We start from the raw sequence: 23,625 nt of genomic DNA on the forward strand, positions 1-23,625 counted from the left end.
ATGGTGTTCTTGTCCTGCCCATGTCCATAAAAATCTATGCTCACAGATGTTTTAGAGGATGAGTAAATCTGGGTTTTATTGGGTGAAAAGCAAAAAAAAAAAAAAGGAAAACAGGATGCTCTGCTAGAGCACTTCCTGCTGACCATTCTAATCTCAGGTTCCACACAGGAAGAGGAGGGACCGTGCTCGCTCTTCTTTGCTGCAAAAGTTGTGAACTTCCCAAGGCTCCACCTCAGTGGGCAGACTGGTGGGAGTTTCTCCCGGGCACTGCTTCCCACCTGCCTGTCTCATTTTCACACTGTAATCAAGATACTTTTTTTTCTCTAGTTTTTCTTACTATCTATCCATTTATACTCACATTCCTACTTGTTCTGAAAGATCACAGTTACCCAGGCAGGTAATTAAAACTGCACTAATGCAACAAGGCAGCTTTGATACAACCTTTGAATGCCCTATAGAATTTAAATTTTATGAAGCATCCAAATATGTGCCCCAAATTAATTTTCTTTCCTTTTTCTTACTTGGGAGATTGCATTTTTTTTTTCACGAACCTACTATTTGGTCACTTTGATATTTATTACTCTAGTCTATATAGTATGTTATAATTTTTATGTATAACTCATAATTTATCAGTGTTTATTATTTGTAGATGCTATGTTCTGAGTATTTGGGTCCTCCCAAAACTCATAAATTGAAAGCTAATCACCAGTGTGATGGTATTAGGGGATGGAGCCATCCATCAGGAGGTGATTAGTTCATGAGGATGGAGCCATAGTAAATGTGATTGTGCCCTTATAAAAGGCTCCAGAGAACGGCCTTGTCTCTTTAACCATGGCAGGGCACAGCAAGAAGTTTCCATCTATAAACTAGAAAATGGGCCCTCACCAGAGGTTCCGTATTCTGTAACAGAATAAGTGAGAAAGCCACTTTTGCATAATTAGCTCTTCTTTCAATCTTGAAGTGTGATAATCATTTTCAAGTTTTTTCTGCTCTATAAAAAATATTTAGGTTTGCTGCAAATCCACTTGATATCAATAAATCCTCTGGAACTATGGACTCCATCAGCACTCAAGAAAGCAAAGGATCCGTTCCCTATAATTTCAAACCTGAAAAAGAACACTCTAAATCAGTCTGGGAACCACTTACGGCTGTAATCAAAAAGACAATTAATAATAGAGTGATTTTAAATATATTATACCAAACACTGAGCTCCCAGAAAATATACCCACCCATCACCATATGCTGCATTAAAATATCTGGTATATTAAGGGAAAAATAAGACTGAACATAAGTGTTGGAGTTAAAATCTGTAACCCTATTTAGAACAACTTGTAGATAGGCAGATAGACACATATAGGTATACAAAGACGGGGTAAAACCCTTCTTTCCTTCCATTCTTCCTTCCTTCCTTGGTTCTTTCCTTCCTTTCTTCTTTCTTTCCTTTCTATCTATATGCAAAGAGAGAGTGTTTGCCAAATTCAAAGATTCCTGAAATTAAAAAAATTCAGTTTTCTGGCATAATTTTAGGCAATGTACTTTTTCAAAAAGTAAAAATAAGATTTATATTTACTTGGTACTTTTGAAACATACTGCAATAGAAACCTAAGAGACTGCATACTGCAATAGAAACCTAAGAGACTGCTTATAGTCTTTTTTTTACATTTTATCCTCATGGATAGAAAGAATCAATATTGTGAAAATGGCCATATTGCCCAAAGTAATTTAAAGATCCAATGCAATACCCATCAAACTACCTTTGACATTCTCCACAGAATTAGAAGAAAACTACTTTAAATTTCATATGAAACCAAAAAAGAGCCCATATAGCCAAGACAATCCTAAACAAAAAGAGCAAAGCTGGAGGCATCATGCTACCTGACTTCAAACCATGCTACAAGGCTACAGTAACCAAAACAGCATGGTACTGGTACCAAAACAGACATACAGACCAATGGAACAGAATAGAGACCTCAGAAATAATGCCACACATCTACAACCATCTGAACTTTGACAAACCTGACAAAAACAAGCAATGGGGGAAGGATTCTCTATTTAATAAATGGCGCTGGGAAAACTGGCTATCCATACACAGAAAACTGAAACTGGACCCCTTCCTTACACCTTATACAAAAATTAACTCAAGATGGATTAAAGACTTAAATGTAAAACCCCAAACCATAAAACCCCTAGAAAAAAATCTAGGCAATATCATTCAGGACATAGGCATGGGCAAAGACTTCATGATGAAAACGTCAAAAGCAACAAAAGCCAAAACTGACATATGGGATCTAATTAAACTAAAGAGCTTCTGCACAGCAAAAGAAACTATCATCAGAGTAAACAAGCAACTAACAGAATGGGATAAAATTTTTGCAATCTACCCATCTGTCAAAGGTCTAATATCCAGGATCTACAAGGAACTTAAATAAATTTATAAGAAAAAAAACATCAAAAAGTAGGCAAAGGATATGAACAGACAACTCTCAAAAGAAGACATTTATGCAGCCAACAAACATTTGAAAAAAAAAGCTCAACGTCACTGATCTTTAGAGAAATGCAAATCAAAACAATAATGAGATACCATCTCATGCCAATCAGAATGGCAATTATTAAAAAGTCAAAAAACTAAAGATGCTGGTGAGGCTGTGGCGAGATAGGAATGCTTATACACTGCTGGTGGGAGTGTAAATTAGTTCAACCATCGTAGAAGACAGTGTGGTGATTCCTCAAGGATCTAGAACCAGAAATACCATTTAACCCAGCAATCCCATTACTGGATATATACCCAAAGGAATATAAGTAATTCTATTATAAAGACATATGCACACATATGTTTATTGCAGAACTATTTACAATAGCAAAAACATGGAATCAACCCAAAGGGCTATCAAAGATAGACTGGTTAAAAAAAAATGTGGTACATATACACCATGGAATACTGTTCAACCATAAAAAAGAATGAGTCCATGTTCTTTGCAGGGACATGGATGAATCTGGAAACTGTCATCCTCAGCAAACTAACACAGGAACAGAAAACCAAACACTGCATGTTCTCACTCATAAGTGAGAGTTGAACAGTGAGAACACATGGACACAGAAAGGGCAACAACACACACTGGGGGCAGTAGGGGGTGGGAGAAAGGGGAGGAAGAGCATTAGGACAAACAGCTAATGCATGTGGAGCTTCAAACCTAGATGATGGATTGGTAGGTGCAACAATCCACCATGGCACACACATACCTATGTAACAAACCTACACATTTTGCATTTGTATCCCAGAACTTACAGTAAAATAAAAATATATTTTTTAATTAATTTTCTTTGTTGATAAACAAATCTTTCCTTATTTATAAGTATAATTTGTCCTGTCTTGCATATTTCAATATTTGTTTTATTGGTTGCTTTTTTTAATCTAGCACGTTACTAAAATAATAAGGCAGAGATACATATGTATCCAAGAAACAATTATATAAATAAAAAAGTAAGCTAAATAAAAAATAAACAAAAATTAAAAAAATAAATATAATATTGCTTATGATGAACATTTGGAAAGCTAAAGACAACTATACAATCCTCAACCATTTTAACCCAAGAAACACTTTTAACAATTTTAACCCACCCAGGAAATGCTTACAGAAATAAAAATAAATAAAATAAGCAACAAATAAATAAAAACAAGTAGTATTCATTGTGGTGGGCATTTGGAATGTTAAAGACAACTATAAAGTCTTTAACCCTTTAAAGACAAAGAAATCTTATATACACTTTACTTGGAAAGAAGTACAAGTAATACGTGAGTTTTGGCTTAAAATTTGCAGAATGATTAAATTTGAATTAGCAAAAGAGAACTAATTGTCAAGCAAGAGCTTGATAATAAAGATAAAATAACAAATAAAAATAAAAATGGAAGATTTCACCATGTGTCATTTAACAAGGTGAGAAGAAAATGGGTTGCTCTAGGATATGCTTCAATGTGAAAGGGCATATGTCATCGATTGGAGACTGAAAAGTTAATTCCACATGGAAAACAGAAAGATTTGTTTATAATAATACAACTCAAAATGATTTAAAATTTTTCATATGACACACCAGAATAAGAACATTGCTAATACATTGGAAACTCACCAACCATTGAATGTGGTGCCATTTGTCCATTTCCAAGAATCTCCTTGTTTCCTGCTTAGTCCAATCCAGTGCATATCAGTTCCTGCGTACCTCTTCAAAAATTCCTTTCACAAAACAAAGGGAATCAGCGATTACTTAATATGTTACAGCACATTGCTGAACATGCTTCCCACCCCAATTATTCTATCTTTTAGGATTCACATTCTAATTTGTCTTCCCTGATGCTTCTATAACAACAAACAGCACAGATGTTGATGTTTGGGTTAGTTTTATCAGAAAGATTTTCATTTTGCTTTTTTGCATCTTAAGTATCTCCAGATAATTGGGCTACAACCAAGTCATTGATACCCTTTAGTATGAATGTCACTGATATTGTATGTTTTTTCATATAATCAGAGATAAAACTAACTTCTATATAAATATAATTTACTGCAATGAAATCTATTATGTGATGGCTTTAGTCACTGCTCTATTGGCTTTTTGCTATTAAGCCACAAACCTTTCATTAGCTTTTTGTTCTTTTAACTTTTATTTTAGGTTCTGTGATATATGTGAAGGTTTGTTACAGAGGTAGACTTGTGTCATGAAGGTTTGTTTTACAGATTATTTCATCACCCAAGTATTAAGCCCACTAACCAATAGTTATATCTGTCATATCTGCCATCACATAGTTCTGGGTTAATTATGGCAATATGCTAATTGAGATCAATAGGAGAGGACTGGAAAGTGTTTTATGTACATCATTTACATAGGCACTGAACAAACTTCTGTGTTAAACAGAACAATTAACTAATTAAAAGTGAGTCTTACCCAATCCAAATATACATGTCAGTACTAGATCAAAGATAAAAGTAGACAGACTCATTAGTTCACAAAAGTCATTTAAAAATTAACTCATCCATAACAAAAGAATCATAAGTCAATCACGTAAACACCACCGCAACCATTGTTGTTCTGGTTTTAGCTCTTTGAGGAATTGCCACACTGCTTTCCACAATGGTGGAACTATTTTCACTCCAACCAATAGTGTATAAGTGTTCTTTTCTCTACAACCTTGCTAGCATTTGTGGTTTTTTGACTTTTTAATAATATCCATTCTGACTGGTGTGAGATGATATCTCGTTGTGGTTTTAATGTGCACTTCTCTAATGATCAGTGATGTTGAGCTTTTTTTCATGTTTGTTGGTGAAATGTATGTCTTCTTTTAAAAAGGGTCTCTTTATGCCCTTTGCCCAATTTTAATAGGGTTGTTTTTCTCTTGTAAATTTGTTTTAAGTTCCTTAGAGATGCTGATGTTAGACTTTGACAGATGCATAGCTTGCAAAAGTTTTCTCCCATTCTGTAGTTTGTCTGTTTACTGTGTTAATAGTTTCTTTTGCTGTGCAGAAACTCTTAAGTTTAATTAGATAATATTTGTCAATTTTTGCATTTTTTTTTACTATTGCTTTTGTTGTCTTTGTCATGAAATTTGCCTGTTTCAATGTCCAGGATGGTATTGCCTAGGTTTTCTTCCAGTCTTTTTATAGTTTGGGGTTTTACATTTAGGTCTTTAATCCATCCTGAGTTGATTTTTGTATATGGTATAAGGAAGGAGTCTTGCTTCAATCCTTTGCATATGGCTAGCCAGTTATTCCAGCACAATTGATTAAATATGGAGTTCTTTTCCTATTGCTTGTTTTTGTCAGCTTTGTCAAAGATCAGATGGTCGTAGGTGTGTGTCCTTATTTCTGGGCTCTCTATTCTGTTCCACTGGTCTATGTGCCTGTTTTTGTACCAGTACCATGCTGTTTTGGTTACTGTAGCCCTGTAGTATAGTTTGCAGTCAGGTAACATGATGCTCCTAGCTTTATTCTTTTTGCTTAGGATTGCCTTGGCAATTTGGGCTCTTTTATGATTCCATATGAATTTTAAAATAGTTTTTTCTTTCTAATTTCATGAAGAATATCATTGGTAGTTTGACAGGAATAGCATTGAATTTCTGTCAGTTCAATGCCATTCCAGCCAGTTCAGCCTCGTTAAGAACTCTTGTTGGAGAACTGGTGCAGTTGTTTGGAAAACATATGACACTCTGACTATTTGAGTTACTGGAGTTCTTGCATTAATTCTGTCTCATCTCTGCAGTGGGTGTCAATTTAACTGCAGTGTATATTTAGTACAGTCGATAGATCTCTTTTCTGTTTGTTTTCATAGGGCTGAAGCTTTGTGCAGGGTCTTTATTTGAAGGTGACTTCTTTAATTTTAGAGGGGGTTATGTTAGTGAGATATTTTTGGTGTTGAAGATTTGAGGTGTGATCCAGTAGGTTGCGCTTGGACGTATTTGTCAGTTGGGAGACTCTTGATCCATTGTGTGACTCCCTTACTTTTCCTCACAGTTGCAGCCATGTTCTCTCTCAATGTTCTGAAAATGTGGGTTTCTCTCCCACTTGAGTGCTGGCTATAGATTGTGACTTGGCAATTCTAGGCTGCCCACTGCAGCTCTTGGGTGATCTCAGTGTTTATGTTTCTTCCCCAACTTGGAGGCAGCAATGGAAGAGACCTTAGTAGTGGTTAAAGCCAATGGTCTTTTGCTTTTCTCCTGGGAGCTTCACTCCAGAGAGATGCAAGTAAGCAATCATTCAGTGCAATCAGCCCAGGATGGAGGGTCTCTGCTGTGGGCCCAAGCTGGAGGTTCCATGTCTGGTGATGAGCAAGGTGGGTGAGCAGAGCCTGTGGAGATGGACTGGCCTCCTCTCCTGCAACTTGTTGGAGGTGTGGATGAGAGACTTAGGGTCTTTGCTCCTTCATTAGTCTGAGGGCAGCAAGGGCAGTTCCAGTGCAGAGGCAGTGGCAGAGAGGTTTCCTGTTGCCCCTGGAGGCTCTCTCTAAGACATTCCAGAGCTGCTACTGGCTCAATAGCGCTTGCGAGGGGGGCTGGAGGCCCAGGCCTGGAGGACCCTCCTGGTGAGGAGACAAGGAGATGGGCACTCATGTAACAGTCTGGCCACTTTATCATAGGGCTGCTGTGGTATGCTGGTGGCCATCTCCAGTCCCTATTTACCTCGGATTTTCTGATACCTGTAGGTACCAACAGTGAAGCCTACAAAACAGCAAAGAAGGTGGCCTGCCCCTCCCTCTGTGAGCTCTGTGCCAGGGAGGTACATAGCTATTACCGGCCCAAGAACACCTGTAGGAGGCAGCTAAAGACCCTGGTTAGAGATCCTGCCCAGTGAGGAGGAATGGGATTGGGTACCCACTTACAAGGGCAGTCTGGCCACTTTTTTGTAGAGCAGCTGTGCCGTGCTGGGGGACCACTTCCACCCCTGGTCAACTTGGACTCTCCAAAGCCTGAAGGCTGGATGGCTAAGTCACCCAAACAGCAAAGATGGCTGCCCACATCTCCCTCTGGGAGCTGTTTCAGGGAGGTGCAATGCTGTTATTGATGGCTGGCTAGAACTCCAAGCCAGTGGGTCCTATCCTGTGAGATGCCATGGAAGTGGGTCCTGCAGAATGTCGCTGCTCAGCCTCCTGGATTCAGCCCCTTTACTAGGGATGTGTAAGGGGGTCTAACCTCCCTCTTCGCTGGAGTTTCAACTACTTTTGCTGGGAAGCCTGGAACTCCTGGCTATCTGAGGCTCCCGGGTCACTGCACATGCCTGAGAGGCTGCTCTTTTGAAGCTCCACTTAGCTCTGTGTGTCAGACTGAAGGCCCCGGTGGAGTTGGTTTACAAGGGGATCTCCTGACCCGAGGGTTGCAAAGATCCATGGGAGCAGCATGGGTTCCAGGGGTTGCACATTCACTCACCACTTCCCTGGGCGAGGGGAGTTCCCCTGGCTCCATGTCGTTCCCAGGTTGGCCATCGACCTGCCTTGCTTTTCTTCATTGTCTATGGGTTGAGTTGTTTCCTTGATTAGTTCCATTGCGTGTACCCTGGATGTTTCAGTTCAAAGTGCTGTATTTACTCACCCCTTCAGTTCCTCTCTTTGAGAGCTGCGCACTCCAGCTACTTCTAGTCGGCCATCTTGGCCACTCTCCAACCCCCAGCTTTTCTTTAAAAACTAATCTATTTTCTTACTCTGTGTCCCTAGAGTCCACGTGTCTCCTTCTTTGCCCTCTTTACTTCCATTAATTCACTCGCGTCTTCGAAGTGCACATATTTCCTTCATTTCCTTGTCTCTAAATTCTAAGAGCTGTATTTTTAAAAATTTTTTCTGTCTATGCTTGGTAGAATGCAAATTGAAAAGGGTTTAAAAAATCTACTTAATAATCTAAGAACATTTAACGAAGACATTTAGATACATAAACAGTATGCATTGTGGTAAAGGACATGGCATCACTAGTCATCTTGCCTGGGTTCAAATCCCAGCCCAACAACTTATGGCTGTGTCATTGGCTGGGTTACATAACATTTCTGTGACTGACTTTCCTCATCTTTAAAGTAGGGAGAGTTATATAACTCCTTCATGGGTGTTAGTAGAAGATTACATGAGATTATATAGTTTCAGTGCTTAGAACACTGTTGAGCACACATTGTCATACACAGTTGACTCAAACAATGTGGCAGTTAGGGGCACTGACCGCCTGTGCAGTCAAAAGTCTGTATATAACTTTTGACTCCTCAAAAAGTTAACCATGCTGTTTATGGTATCTCATGCTAATTCTAGCACTTTGGGAGGCTGAGGCAGTAGAATTGCTTGATCTCAGTTTGAGACCAGCCTGGACAACATAGTGAGACCTCATCTCTACAAAAAATAAACAAAATTAGCCAGGAGTGGTGGTCTGCACCTGTAGTCCCAGCTACTCAGGAGGCTAAGGTGGGAGGATTGCTTGATCCCAGGAATTCAAGGCTACAGTGAGCTGAGATTGCACCACTGCACTCCAGCCTAGGTGCCAGAGTGAGACTCTGTCTTAAAAACAAACAAACAAACAAACAAAAAACAAAAACAGAAAACTTAGCCACTAGTAGCCTGCTGTTGACTGGAAGTCTTACTGGTAACATAAAAGTAAATTAACATATATTTTCATGTTATTTGAATTATATGCTGTATTATTACCATAAAGGAAGCTAGAGAAAAGAAGATGTTATTAAGAAAATCACAAGAAAGAGAAAATCTATTTACTATTCATTAAGTGGAAGTGAAGACATCGTAAAAGTCTTCATCCTCGTTGTTTTCATATTGAGTAGGCTGAGGAGGGGGAAGAAGAGGAGGGTTTGCTCTTGCTGTCTCAAGGGTGGCAGAGGAAAAATAATCCAGGTATAAGTGAACCCACACAGTTCAAACCCATGTTGTTCAAGGATCAATTGTATTATAGTATTAGCTATTATTGTTTTATTATGTTTTTATACAAACAATCTCTGAAATTACTGAAGACTTTTCTGTTTTCTTACCATGTCTTCTTGTGTATCAATCTGAGCAAGTTCTGCTTTCTGCAAACTACAAAATATTTTACTGGCTGTCCAATTTCTGGTATCATCAGAAAAATAGAAACACTTATCTCTCACTCCAAGCCAGTCCCCTGAACATGCCACAGGTTTAGCATGCTTGGACCATGTGGCTGAAAAAAAAAGAAAGAAATGATCAGATAAAGCATATGTTAAAAAGTGTTTCTACTCATTCAGGTGTATTAATTTTACTTTTTGCTTCCACAGTTTGAGGCCCGTAAGTTAGCTTCCCCCCTCCCCAGAATGAGGATGAATTAACTTCCCCTGTCTGTAAGGAAGATCATTTAGTGATCAAGCAGTGCATACTTTTTTCTATTTCCCTGGCTTCTATTTTGAGAAATGGAACCACTAGCTTCTCATAATCTATATTAATATCCTGCCAAAAACAATGCATAAAATGTAGCTATAAATTCTGCAATCAAGGTAGAGTGCTGGAGATCTGCATGTAATTTAGGTTTCGAGGTTAGGGTAAGAAATGGAGGCTTTCCTTTACCTATGAAAACACCCAAGCTAGGAAAGTGAAACTTGCCATAAAGGACAACACATAAGTGAAACATAAGAATTAGTGAAACCTTTGTTTCATTTCATTTACATCCAGTGCTGAAGAATATGGAATAATAATGAAAGCACATTGTTTGGAGATTTACTGTCTCAAGGTTTTATTTAGGTGCTAAGTATTCAGAATAAGACAAGTCCATGCATTCCACATGTTTGAATAAATTAATGCAAGTAATAAAGAGCCAACTATATGCTCAAATGTAGGGCAAACTCCAAAGGCTGCACCCCCTACTCCACCATGATTTATTATTATTATTATTATTTTGTAGTGCTCAGAAGTGGATACAGGCTACTACACAGGGTGTAAGATATAATGTGTTTCAACTCTGTCTCTGTGCTCTTTTTGTTGTGTTTTGTTTTGTTAAACTTTAAGTTCTGGGATAAATCTGCAGAGTGTGCAGGTTTGTGACGTTGGTATACATGTGCCATGGTGGCTTGCTGCACCTATCAACCCATCTTCTAGGTTTGAAGCCCCGCATGCATTAGGTATTTTGCAATCTATCCATTTGACAAAGGACTAATATCCAGAATCTACAAAGAACTTAAACAAATTTACAAGAAAAAAACAATCCCATCAAAAAGTGGGTGAAGGATATGAACAGACACTTCTCAAAGAAGACATTTACGCAGCCAACAGACACAGGAAAAAACGCTCATCATCACTGGCCATCAAAGAAATGCAAATCAAAACCACAATGAGATATCATCTCGCACCAGTTAGAATGGTGATCATTAAAAAGTCAGGAAACAACAGGTGCTGGAGAGGATGTGGAGAAATAGGAATACTTTTACACTGTTGGTGGGACTGTAAACTAGTTCAACCATTGTGGAAGACAGTGTGGCGATTCCTCAGGGATCTAGAACTAGAAATACCATTTGACCCAGCCATTCCATTACTGGGTATATACCCGAAGGATTATAAATCATGCTGCTATAAAGACACATACACACGTATGTTTATTGTGGCACTATTCACAATAGCAAAGACTTGGAACCAAACCAAGTGCCCATCAATGATAGACTGGATTAAGAAAATGTGGCACATATACACCATGGAATACTATGCAGCCTTAAAAAAGGATGAGTTCATGTCCTTTGTAGGGACATGGATGAAGCTGGAAACCATCATTCTCAGCAAACTATGGCAAGGACAGAAAACCAAACACCACATGTTCTCACTCATAGGTGGGAATTGAACAATGAGAACACATGGACACAGGGACGGGAATATCACACATTGGGGTGATGTTGGGGTTGGGGGAGTGGGGAGGGATAGCCCCCCTGTCGTGGGGTTGGGAGAGTGGGGAGGGATAGCATTAGGAGATATATCTAATGTAAATGACGAGTTAATGGGTGCAGCACACCAACATGGCACATGTATACATATGTAACACAAACCTGCACATTGTGCACATGTACCCTAGAACTTAAAGTATAATAATAAAAAAAAGAAAAAAAGAAAAAATAATAATCGCCATACTGACTGGCCTGAGATGGTATCTCATGTGGTTTTGATTTGCATTTCTCTACTGACCAGTGATGATGAGCTTTTCTTTATATGTTTACTGGCCACATAAATGTCTTCTTTTGTCTTTCTGCTCTTTTTAATCAATGAATAAATGAACATAAAAACTTACTGTAGAAACTCTTGTCTATATTTAACTTCCAGATGTTTAGACAGCAATAACATTAAGCTCTAAGACTACACTGACAGTAGAGACTATAAACAAGAAGACTATCAGTATTCTTGAGAATGACCGAAACCCAACCCAACCCAACCCAACCCAACCCAATCAAACCAAAACAAAACAAAGAGCAGTGCTACTTAGCCAAATATAAGTGCTAAATTAAGCAAACCATGCATATGGAAAATCAAGTGCTGGGGACTATTTGGCCATGGCTCAGGAATTAAATTCTACCTTTGGATCTTTTTCACAAAATAAACCCATAGAACCCAGAGGAAATTTAACAACTTCATTTTTACAAATATTGCAATTCCAATGAGACAGTCTTGCAAAAGGTCACATATGCCGTTATTTCTTTGTTTTTTTTCATTTAACTTAATATGATAGTGAAGGAGTTCAGAACATGATGCCCCGAAATATGTCACTCAGGCATATAGACTCTTTTGAGTTAAACGCACTTTTAAAACAGCAGATGCAAGAGAAAACACTCTGAGCTTCCTTATTTTTCTTATAAGCAGGAGATAAAATACCTTTGTGAAAGATATCTTCTCTATACCAGAAGGAAAGCAACATTCTTATAGTCAAGGATAGGTAGTTGAGGCCAAAGGAAATGTGTGCAAACAACATTTGTTAATTTAACATTTATCTTTCCGGTCACTTTTCTACCCAATTAATTACCCTAGATCAAACCTCTTTGCCTTGCCACATTTTCATAATTTATTACCCTTTGTTGAATTCAATATATAAGTGTTCAACTCTACCTGCATCTTTAGGCTTTCATAAGGAAGACGTGCATGTCACGTCAAACTTATATTAACTAAACGCATGTGCTTTGCTCAAGTTGATGTGTCTTGTGTCAATTTCATTCTCAGGCCCGCAGAAAAACCCTGAGCGGGTAGAGGTAAGATTTTGCATTCCAACTAATAGAAATAAATAAAGTTTTATAGAACAAACTATTAGTGACATAACTTACTCTTGATTAAAAAGAAATTAAAGGAATGCTACAATTATGAAGGTCAAGCTGCATGGTTTTTAAAATTTATCAAGCATTAGAGTTATACAGCCAAGGTGTTTGATCCTAGGTCTGGAATGTATTATTTGTGAGAGGCAACTTACTCATTCTGTCCTGTATATTTTTTATCTGTAAATGGATTTTCTTATACCTGTATCCTAGTCTAATGAGGATTAAATACAAATAGCAGAGCATAGTGTATTTAACATTAGCTCACTAATTCACAAACTCTAAAAAAGAAAATTATCTGTAACAAGCCCATAGAACTGATGTTTATGTGGGATTTTTTTTTATAAATATAGAAATTGATCCTCCTAGTTTTAAAACTTGAAACTTACATTTGTCTTATTTGAGTTCATTCTTTAGGAATCTGACCTTTAGTCCTCTCAGATAGTAACAGGAAACCGAAAGTCACCAGATCACCACTTCCAGACAAGGGACTCCTCACTGCCATGATTGTCTAACCGACCACCTGCTCCCTGTTGACCAACTCTTCTTCCCTACCCCTCCCTAATTCGGGAATAGTCATTGTCTCCGGGATTGGCTTTCTGTGCCCTGAGCAATGGGACCTAGACTGAACCCCTGGCATTTCAGTAACATCGCTATTGCTGTTGCCATCTGGTGGTCATCTAAGAATTTAAGATTATTTTTCTTAAGCATCAAGGACTATAAAGTCAAGAACATAATTCTATTGTAAAACTGAGAGTGTTTGGGGGAGAGGCAAGGATTATGGTAAAAACTGTTGAACTGGTAAAAATTTGAGGACAAGTGTCTATAAAACCCTTTAATCACTCTAGATGTGGGAGATTTGGAGTTAAACTTGAGATATACATGGACCCTTCAGGAGTGAAGAACCATAGAAAGTGTATGAATTAAACCACTCACCTATCATAATAATGCAAACTGTAGTAATAATAATACTCAGGAAGCACATAAGGCCAATCTTCCAGTTTTGTATCAACTTGGGAACTGCAAATTAAATCAACACATATTTTACAATTTCTGAATAAACACTGACTCGATATTATTACTGGTGTATTCCTCTCCTATAATTGTTAATCAGGAAACCCTCAATCAAGTACATACATCTCAAAATAACAAAGGATAGCAAACCATCAAAAAGTGCAAGGAAGATAAGTACCAAAAAATGATTGCTATAGCTGTTCGGCTCGAGAGAGTGGTGAGTGGAGAAATCACTGAGTTTTGGGGGAATGAGGAAGGAAAGGAAAGGAAAGTTTACTTAAAAGGTAGAAATAGTTTGAATGGGGGATTTTAAGCAAAAAGGCATAAAGATCATCAAAAGGTCCACGATTAGAGCAAATGTTTATAACAGATATATAAGGCAATAGGATTAAAGACAGGAAAGAAAGGAGTCATAAGGTCATGACAGAAGACCTTAAATGAGAGATATATTTTTCTTTATTCTTTAAGCCATGGAGGAAATAAACAATGTGTTTCAGCCAGAGAATATTCAAGATAAAAGCAGTAATTTATTTATTTGTGGTAAGCAAACAAAATTAGAGAAAACTCAGGATTTGACACTCGTGGAAATGCTATGAGGTTAAGAACAAATAATAATTCTATTAATGATAAAGTAATTGTAGCTGATATATCATTAGTAGATGTAGAAACAATCTAGGAAGAATGTGCGTGTATGTGTGTGTCTGTGTGTGTGTGTGTACAGTCATGCATAGCTTAGCAATGGGGAGATATTTTGAGAAATGTGCCTTTAGGTGATTGTGTCATTGTTGGAACATCATAGAATGTACTTACACAAACTTAGACAGTATAGCCTACTAACACCTAGGCTATATATTACAGACTGTTGCTCCTAGACTACAAAACTGGATAGCATGTTATCGTACTAATTACTGCAGGCAATTATAACACAATGCTAAATGCTTGCGTCTAAACATAGAAAAGGTACAGTGAAAATACCATATAAAAGATCAAAAATGGTACACCTTTACAAGGCAGCTTCATTGTAATCTTATGGGACCATTGTTGTTATGCAATCTGTCATTGACCAAAACATTGTTCTATGGTGCATGACTATATGTGTATATCGTGCATATATGCATAAACACAGATTATATATATGTATGCATGCCTATATGCATATATATGCTTTATATGTATGTATATATACATGTACATATACATACATATATTTAAATATCAGAAAAGAGGACTTGAAGAAAGAAAAATTTAAAAAGAAGTCATGTTTTCTCTCTTTCTTCAGAACTTAAAGCAGCCTTAGTGAATGAAAACTTGAAAAAGTTACTAGTTTTCATGATCACCAGACTACAGATAATGTGCAATAAAGTAATTTCAAGACTGGATTGAGAGAAGCCAGATTCTGAGATGTTTACAAAGAGAATGTTTGATAGGAAGAAGAGTTTGGTAATTTATCTTACATCTAGAGAAACAATAGCTAAAGATAGAAAACATAAAATGTGTTTTTTTTTTCAAGATTAGGGAGAAATGAAGAACAAGGAAGAAGAAAAGATAAAAACCACTGCACAAATTTCAGACACCCAAAATAGTAATTTGTGGGCAAAGCCATGTCTTACACAAAAGGTATTGAAACAATTGAGAAAAAAAGGCTTTACCATACGACAACATCAGCTTACAAAATTTATTTAAGACGTATTATTGACCTGAACATAAAACCTGAAACCATACAATTTCTAGAAAACATAAAATAGTTTGTGACCATGAGAATTAGTAAAGCTGTCTTAGAGAAAGAAGAGAAAGTACAGTGTAAAATTAAAAGAAAATGATAAATTGAATTTAATTGAAATTTAAGGGCTGGGCACAGTGGCTCATGCCTGTAATCCCAGCACTTTGGGAGGCCAAGGAGGGTGGATCACCTGAGGTCAGGAATTTGAGACCAGCCTGGCCAACATGGTGAGACCCCTTCTCTACTAAAAACACAAAAAATTAGCTGTGCATGATGGCAGGCACCTGTAATCCCAGCTACTCGGGAGGTTGAGGCAGGAGAATACTTGAACCCAGGAGGCGGAGGCTGCAGTGATCAGAATTATGCCACTGCACTCCAGCCTGGGTGACAGAGTGAGGCTCTGTCTTAAAAAAGAAAAAGAAAGAAAGAAAGAAGAAGGAAAGAAAGAAAGAAAGAAACCTCTGCCCATTTCAAGATACAAGACACTGTTGTGAATATAAATATGCAAGTTACAGACTGGGAGAAAATAGTCACAATATGTGTATGCAAAAAAGACTGGTATCGAAAATACTAAAAGGTCTGTAGTTTAGAGATATAGTACAAACAACTTGATAAAAAAAAGAACCAAAGTCTTGAACAAATACTTACAGAAGAATACACGCAAGTGAGCAATAAGCACATAAAAGATGTTCCATATTATTAGTCACAAGCAAAATGCAGAATAAAACCACAATGGAATATGACTACATGCCACTTGCACTGTTAAAATGAAAAAGACTGACAGCACCAAGTGTTAGCAGGATATAGGGGAACCGAAACACATACACAACTGGTTGAAGTACAAAAATGTATAAGTGTTTTGGAAAATTCTTTAGCAGTTTTTATTTTTAATTAAAATATATGTCCTTCATTCCTGTTCTGGCATGTGATATTTGCAATAGATTGGAAGTCATCCCTACTGTTCTCACAGTGACAACAAAAAAAAAGCTGAGAAAACTAAATAAAAACAACACTTCTAGTATACAGAAATAGTATTGATTTGTTAAATGTGCTCTTTTAAGTAACCCTCTTGAACTCTGGTATTATTTTTAATAGTTTTCTAGTTGATTCTATTGGTATTTATTTTTATATAATCAAATTATCTGAAAATATTGCAGATACAACTCTTCCATTGCAATCCTTGTCCTTTATAATTCCTTTTGTTTTCTTATATCACTGGTTACCTTTAGCATTGTACTACACTATTGCTAAACAGTAGTAGTTACAGTGAACATTTTTTTCTTGTTTTTAATCTTAAATGGAATGTTTAAATTTTCATTATTAAGCACTGTAAAAATGCTGTATAAATTTAACATACAACATTAGCAATTTAAAAAAGAATTTTTCTATTCCTAGTTTCTTAACAGGGACTTATCTCAGATAGACATTGAATGTTATCATGTTTCCTTGTTGTTATCAAATGCACTTACTGAATAATTGTGTGGACTTTCTTTCAAAAAATTTTAATATTTTTTGCACTGATATTCTGATATCTAAGCATTCCTAACATAAATCCACTTGTATATGAATTTTTAACTGCTTTGTTGTATATAGTAAATAAATATTTTCTTGGAATTTCTACTTCTAATTTCATAAGAAGATGAGTCTGTTTCTTTTTGTCTTGTTCTGACTTTGTTTGGAAATCAAAAAGTCTATTAAATCGGGGTAAATTTCTCATTTTGCTGTTTTTTGAAGCAAGATGTCCAATACAAAAATTAGCTATTTCTTGAAAGATCAGTAGATTACTCTATTTTAGTTGCCTTTTCAATGTATTTATTTTTAATTTCTATAATTCTATAATTATTTATTTCTTCTCATTACATTTTGGCATTTTATATTTTTTAGACCTCTACCTTCTTTTTTTAATATTTATAAGCGCATTAGTGTTTTAGTTTGCTAGGCCTGCCGTAACAAGTTGTCACAAACTGGGCGGCTAAAATTAACAGGAATGTATTGTCGTACAGTTCTGGAGACAAGAAGTCTGAAATTAAGATGTTGGTCGGATGGGTTCCTTGTGAGGCCTGTAAGGAAAGAATCTGTTCCAGGCCATTCTCCTTGGCTTGAAGATGGCATTCTCCCTGTATATGGATCCGTCTCTAAATTTTCCTTTTTTATGAGAACACCAGTAATATTAAATTAGGTCCCAACCTACCGACCTAATTTTAACGTGGTAAAGACACTATCTCCAAACCAGATCACATTCTGAGGTAGAGGGGGTTAGAGCCTCAATATATAAAATTTTAAGGGAACAGAGTTTGCCCCATAATAATTGATGAATTATTTCCATAATGTTTTATTAAATTTTAATATTTGTGGTTTTTGTGATTATTTGTACTTTTTTGATATTTTCTTTATTGTATCGTCTTCTGCAAACTTTTAGACATCTAGTTCTCTCGTCTTTTCTAATAGCCACCATTTGATTTGTTATCCCTCTCATTTCTTCTCTTTTTCACTAACGTCTCCTATTATCTCATTTTTTAATTTTGTATATTTTTCTTTCACTCTATTGTGCCAGATGCATGTTTTTTTCTTATCTATTTTGTTTGTACACTTTTGAAGTTTCAGTTTGAGGTATTTGGCTTTTATTAGTTTTAGAAGTTGGAATATTATTTCTTCAAATATTTCCTATCCGCTATTCTTTTTTTCTCTCTCTCTGTTTCAGATTCTTGTTATCTAGAAGGTGGCATTTCTACTTCTATTTTTCATATCTCTCAGCTTTTATTTTATATTTTCTAACTGTTTTCTTTTCTGTCATGTTTTTAATAGCATCTCCTAGGTCTTATTCATTCTTAATCAGCGTCCATTCTATTAATTAACTCCTCAAAGTGTTCTTTATTTCAAACACTATATTTCTATAATTATTATTTTCACTTGGTTTTTATTGTGTTCTTGGTGCTTCTTCATTTCATTAATATCTTTTCTTTTGGAGCATTTTTATTATGCTTTAATTAAATTCTCAGACTAGATGTTCTAATGATTCCTGCAGCCCGGCTTTCTCATAATCTTCCAGTACATGCTTCACAGTACTTCATATTTTGTCTTCTCGTTATGCAATGAGATAAATTTTCTTCCACTTTTTACTCTCTAAACTCTTAAATCTGTTACCCAGACAAGCCTGACTAATTTATTTGGCTAAAGGGATGGAATCTTATTTCTTTTTGTAATACTAATGTCCAATTGTGTAAAATGTAGACTAATTTTTAAAAATTTTCTTATGAAGTTTTCATAGATCAAGAGTTCGTAACTATGACCAATAGTTAGAATATACAACGAAGTAAATTTAACCTTACCCTAAAGAAACTTCTAAATAGAACATCCTTAAATTAAAATGGAAAGTCTTCTAAGACAGAGAGATATTATCACTGAAAACATTCTAGTATAGGCTGCTAGAAATGCTGTAGCTAGAAATCGTATGGTAGATGAAAAGTTTTACTAGGTAGCTACTGAGGTCTCTTCAACCTTTAAGAGTATCAGGCTTACTTATTATTAAAAGAATTATCCCAATTGCCCTGGGAATTCATATCAGTAAACTCTGATAGTGGTTTCAGCTGGAGTCCTTAACTCATTTCAAGATTTTACTTTTTATCTCTTCACTGTCTTTATCTTAAAGTTTTGGCAGGCTTCCTATTCCAGTCATTTGGCATACAATTCATTCGTTTTCTTTAACATAAACCCTCAGAACTATTGTGAATGGAGGGTGTTTGTATGTGTACCTTGTTTTTATTTATTGGTTTGTTTATGTTTCAATCCACTGAAAACAAACTTCATTGTTGGCCTTAGCTGAATCTTAAAATTTTTGAAAAGTTCTTTTCAGTCTTATGAAGTCACAATCATCAAGCCTCCTTCCAGAGTGAAGCATTTGCTTTTTATTCTGTATAAAAGTGTTAAGCAATTTTTTCCCTGTGAAAGTACATTTTAAAAATATTCTTATTGAGATATAATACACGTACCATAAAATTCTGCCCCAAAACCTTCTTACACACAAGCTTATACCCTCTCTTGCAGACATAAAACTCTACATGCTCTAACAGGCTTCCACAATTCTCCGGAAGTGCTTCCCCATCCCTCACTTACTTTAGTAGACTTTCACAGTAAGTAAAGAGTCCATATTTTTAAGCTGTCCTGTATTTTGTTTTATCTTTCCTTTACTTCCTTCTCATTCACTCTATAAAACTTACCTATCCGATGTATGAAGCCATCAGCTCTGCCATCCCGCAGCTCTGGATTAATCATGGCAAGGCGCTAACCGATGGAGATCAGTAGGAGAGGACTAGAAAGCTTTTCATGTACATCACTTATTTAGGCACTGAGCAAGCTTCAGTCAAAAGAGACTTAACCAATCCAAATGGAAAACATCAGTACTAATTTTAGATCAAAGATAAAAGTAGGCAGACTTGTTAGTTTAAGGAAGGAATTTAAAAATTAACTCATCCATAACAAAAGGATCGTAAAGTCAATCATGTAAACACCACAACAACCGTGCTATGGAACATTTCCATCATCTTTCTTTTTTTCCTTGTGTAATCACTATCTTTTCTGACCCTGGACCCTGGCAAGCATTACTTTGCTTTATATCAACATAGTTTTTCCTTTCATGGAATTTTTTTTTTTTGAGGCAGGGTCTCACTGTGTTGCCCAGGCTGGAGTGCAGTGGGGAAAACTTGGCCCATTGCAACTTTGACCTCCTTGGCTCAAGCAATCCTCCTGCCCTACCCACCCAAGTAGCTGGGACTACAGTCGCGCACCATCATGCCCTGCTAATTTTATTTTTTGTAGAGACTAGGTCTCATTATATTGCCCAGACTGGTCTTGAACTCCTGGGCTTAAGTGATCTTCTGGCTTCAGTCACCCAAAGTACTGGGATTACAGGCATGAGCCACCACGGCCAGCCCCTTTCATAGAATTTTATATAAATGGTATCATATAATATGTAGTGTCTTGTCTCTTGCTTATTTCATTTATAATACTTTTGAGATTCACTCAAGTTGTTGTGCAGGTAAGTAGTTCATTCCCTTTTATTTCTTAGTAGTATTCCTATTGCATGTTATACCAGAAATTATCTCTTTGATCACTAGTTGATGGACTTTTGTTTCTAGGGTGGGACTGTTATGTATGAAACTGCTGTACACAGGCATTTTTGTGTGAGCAAGTTTTCTCTTGGATAAATTCCCAGAAATTGAATTGCTGCATCATATAAGTATGTTTATCTTTATAAAAAGCTGTAAAACTGGCTGGGCGCGGTGTCTGTCACCTGTAATCCCAGCACTTGGGGAGGCCGAGGCGGGTGGATCATGAGGTCAGGAGATCGAGACTATCCTGGCTAACACAATGAAACCCCGTCTCTACTAAAAATACAAAAAATTAGCCGGGCCTGGTGGCGGGTACCTGTAGTCCCAGCTACTCGAGAGGCTGAGGCAGGAGAATGGTGTGAACCCGGGAGGCGGAGCTTGCAGTGAGCCGAGATCGTGCCACTGCACTCCAGCCTGGGCAACTGAGCAAGACTCCGTCTCAAAAAAAAAAAAAAAAAATTTGCTTCAGCCTGGAATCTTTGCTTTTGGTGCTTCGGTGCAGAGACAGAAAACGGGCACTCAGAGTCACACTGGTAGTTGCACACTGTATCTGCAGAGGGCGTGTCTCATCTGTACCCCGCTGGGTTACGGGATTTCAGGAGGTATTTTTGTCCACCTGCGAATTCCATTTATTACCTTTCATTTAACAGACAATGTCTTTCCTTTCTGCAGTTGATTTTGCTAAAGAGGCAATTCATAAGGTGAGGTCCTACTCATAGTATGACTTGCTTTCTCACGACCTCCTTCCATTTTTAGTAACTCCCTGGTCTATTTGGTGTCTGTAAAAAAAGAATCTGGTAATGGAGACTTCTTTTAATATGGAAATTTGGCCTGGCAATAACTTATTCCTTTCCACATGTAACTGACCCAATCTGGTTTCCAGATGACAAGTATGCAAGCCCCAGATGTTGAGAAGCCATATTTCAACTGCTTCCTGCATCTGTTGAAATATAATTGTTCATACTTGCCATCCCTTATGTTTCTTGTAACAATTTGCACAGTTCTTGCCAGAATAAATGCCATTCTCTGTATGCTTCAGAGAATTCCGCAATTTGATCAGTGTGTGTGTGTGTGTGTGTGTGTGTGACCTTCCGTAAAACACTTCTAAAGGGTGAAAGCTCTTGTATGGCATAGACATGAATTCCTTCCTCTGGTAATAATTAGGTTATTTCCAGAAGCACAGTGTCATTTTTTTTTTTTTTTTGAGATGGAGTTTCTCTCCTGTGGCCCAGGCTGGAATGCAATGGTGTGATCTCGGCTCACGCAACTTCCACCTCCTGGGTTCAAGTGATTCTCCTGCCTCAGCCTCCTGAGTAGCTGGGATTATGGGCATGCACCACCATGCCTGCCTAATTTTGTATTTTTAGTAGAGACGAGGCTTCTCCATGTTGGTCCAGCTGGTCTCGAACTCCTGACCTCAGGTTATCCACCCGCCTCGGCCTCCCAAAGTGCTGGGATTACAGGTGTGAGCCACCATGCCCAGCCCATTCTTTAAATAAAAGCTTTCCTGTTTAAGGCTTTTCAAAGGAGCAGACCACTTTGAAGATTCTCCCTAGGGTTGATATGTGTCTAATTCATTTTATAAAATTATTCTTATCTTCATTTTAAAGCTTTGGCTATACAGTCAGAAATGTCCTGGATAACAAACTATTTTGTATTTAATTTAATTTGCCTCTTCATTGTCTTATTCAACAAACATTTACAGAATGCCTAATTAGTACTTGGCATTTTTCAGGGTGCTTGAAATACGTCTGTGAACAAAATAGACACAGATTCCTTTACTCATGGGGTTTCCATTCCAGGAAGTTTAAACATAAAGACTAAAGATAGTAAACAAATGGTACAATATTCCATATTCCAGTATGTAATAAGTTCCACTGAAAACAAAAGATAGACCAGGTTAAAATTGATTAGTAATGTCAAGGTTGAGGAGTGTGAGCTGCAATTTTAATAGGGTAGTCAGGGTAAGCATCACTGAGAAAGTGAAATGTAAATGAACTTTGAGGAGGGAAAGTGCCATGTGGATACCATCATCCTGGTGGAATTGTGTGAAGATCCTAGGGCAGATGTATGCCTGGCACATTCCGGAAAGAGTGAGGAAGCCAGCTGTGTCTGGAGGAGAACAGTGAGAGAAGAGTTCAGCTAAGTACCAACAGGGTAATTCTGTTTTTGCCATTCTGAGGCCTGTGGCTAATATTCTAAGTGAAATGGGAAGATGGAAAATTCTTTTGAGCAGAATAGCGGTGTGATCTGACATACATTTAATATGTTCACTCTGGGTACTGTCCTCAGAATAAGTTGGAAGGGGATGCAATCCACTCACCTAGCCTGAATAACTATACTTAAAAATGTTCAAAGTTCTGCTCATGTTCATAAAATTCAACCCGCAGCCCATTATTTGTTCCTTTCTCTTTTCTTCTTTACCTGTCAAATTTTCTCCACTGGGCGCTCTGACTCCTTTTAACATTATTTCTATTTCAGTACAGCTGGATAGAAATGTCATCATTAGGAGATGCAAAGCGGTCCCCTTCTAATGTGATAGTCACCACTCCAGAGATGGCTAATGGAGATGTTTAATGACCTTAAAAATGCATAAGTCTCATTCCCCATCCTCCTTTTGCTAACGATGGTCATTTTTTGTAGCACAATAATCTGAAAATTTTAGAATTATTTTTGTTCTTGTACAGTACAGCATGTAAATTATAATTTAACAACACCTGCATTTAACCTGCTAACACGGTTTACACACTATTAAATCCCGGCCCCATAGAGAATGAGAAGATGAGATGCTGATAAAATTTGCTTCTGATGATGCTGAACATACCATCTATTTTTTCTCTTCTTTTTTTTTTGAGACGGGGTCTCGCTCTGTCACCCAGGCTGGAGTGCAGTGGCGCGATCTCTGCTCACTGCAAGCTCCGCCTCCCGGGTTCACACCATTCTCCTGCCTCAGGCTCCCGAGTAGCTGGGACTACAGGCGCCCGCCACCCCGCCCGGCTAATTTTTTCTATTTTTTAGTAGAGGGTAAGGGGTT

General features: G+C 37.3%; 1 protein-coding gene across 9 annotated transcripts in view; it reads right to left on the bottom strand.

The window, feature by feature from the left end:
* Nucleotides 1–19,796, bottom strand: part of CLEC2A (C-type lectin domain family 2 member A) — a 54,629-nt gene extending 34,833 nt beyond the window's left edge. For 5 of the 9 annotated variants that reach the window (XR_007063076.1, XR_007063074.1, XR_007063075.1 and 2 more), the window contains exons 1-4: nt 19,701–19,796; nt 13,686–13,769; nt 9,492–9,658; nt 4,126–4,229 (exon numbers count right to left, since the gene is read on the bottom strand). Coding sequence is in view for 6 of the 9 variants with exons in the window: in XM_011520657.3 (XP_011518959.1) it covers nt 4,126–4,229; nt 9,492–9,658; nt 13,686–13,769; nt 19,701–19,755 (410 nt within the window). In the remaining 3 variants the exon portion in view is untranslated. Of the gene's footprint in view, nt 1–652; nt 1,107–4,125; nt 4,230–9,491; nt 9,659–13,685; nt 13,770–19,700 lie in introns of those variants that run through there. The other 4 variants (NM_001130711.2, XM_011520654.3, XM_047428829.1 and 1 more) reach the window with 4 other exon arrangements.
* Between the last annotated feature and the right edge of the window lie 3,829 nt (nt 19,797–23,625).

Source organism: Homo sapiens, chromosome 12 (assembly GCF_000001405.40).
Source record: "Homo sapiens chromosome 12, GRCh38.p14 Primary Assembly".
Taxonomy (NCBI): Eukaryota; Metazoa; Chordata; class Mammalia; order Primates; family Hominidae; genus Homo; species Homo sapiens.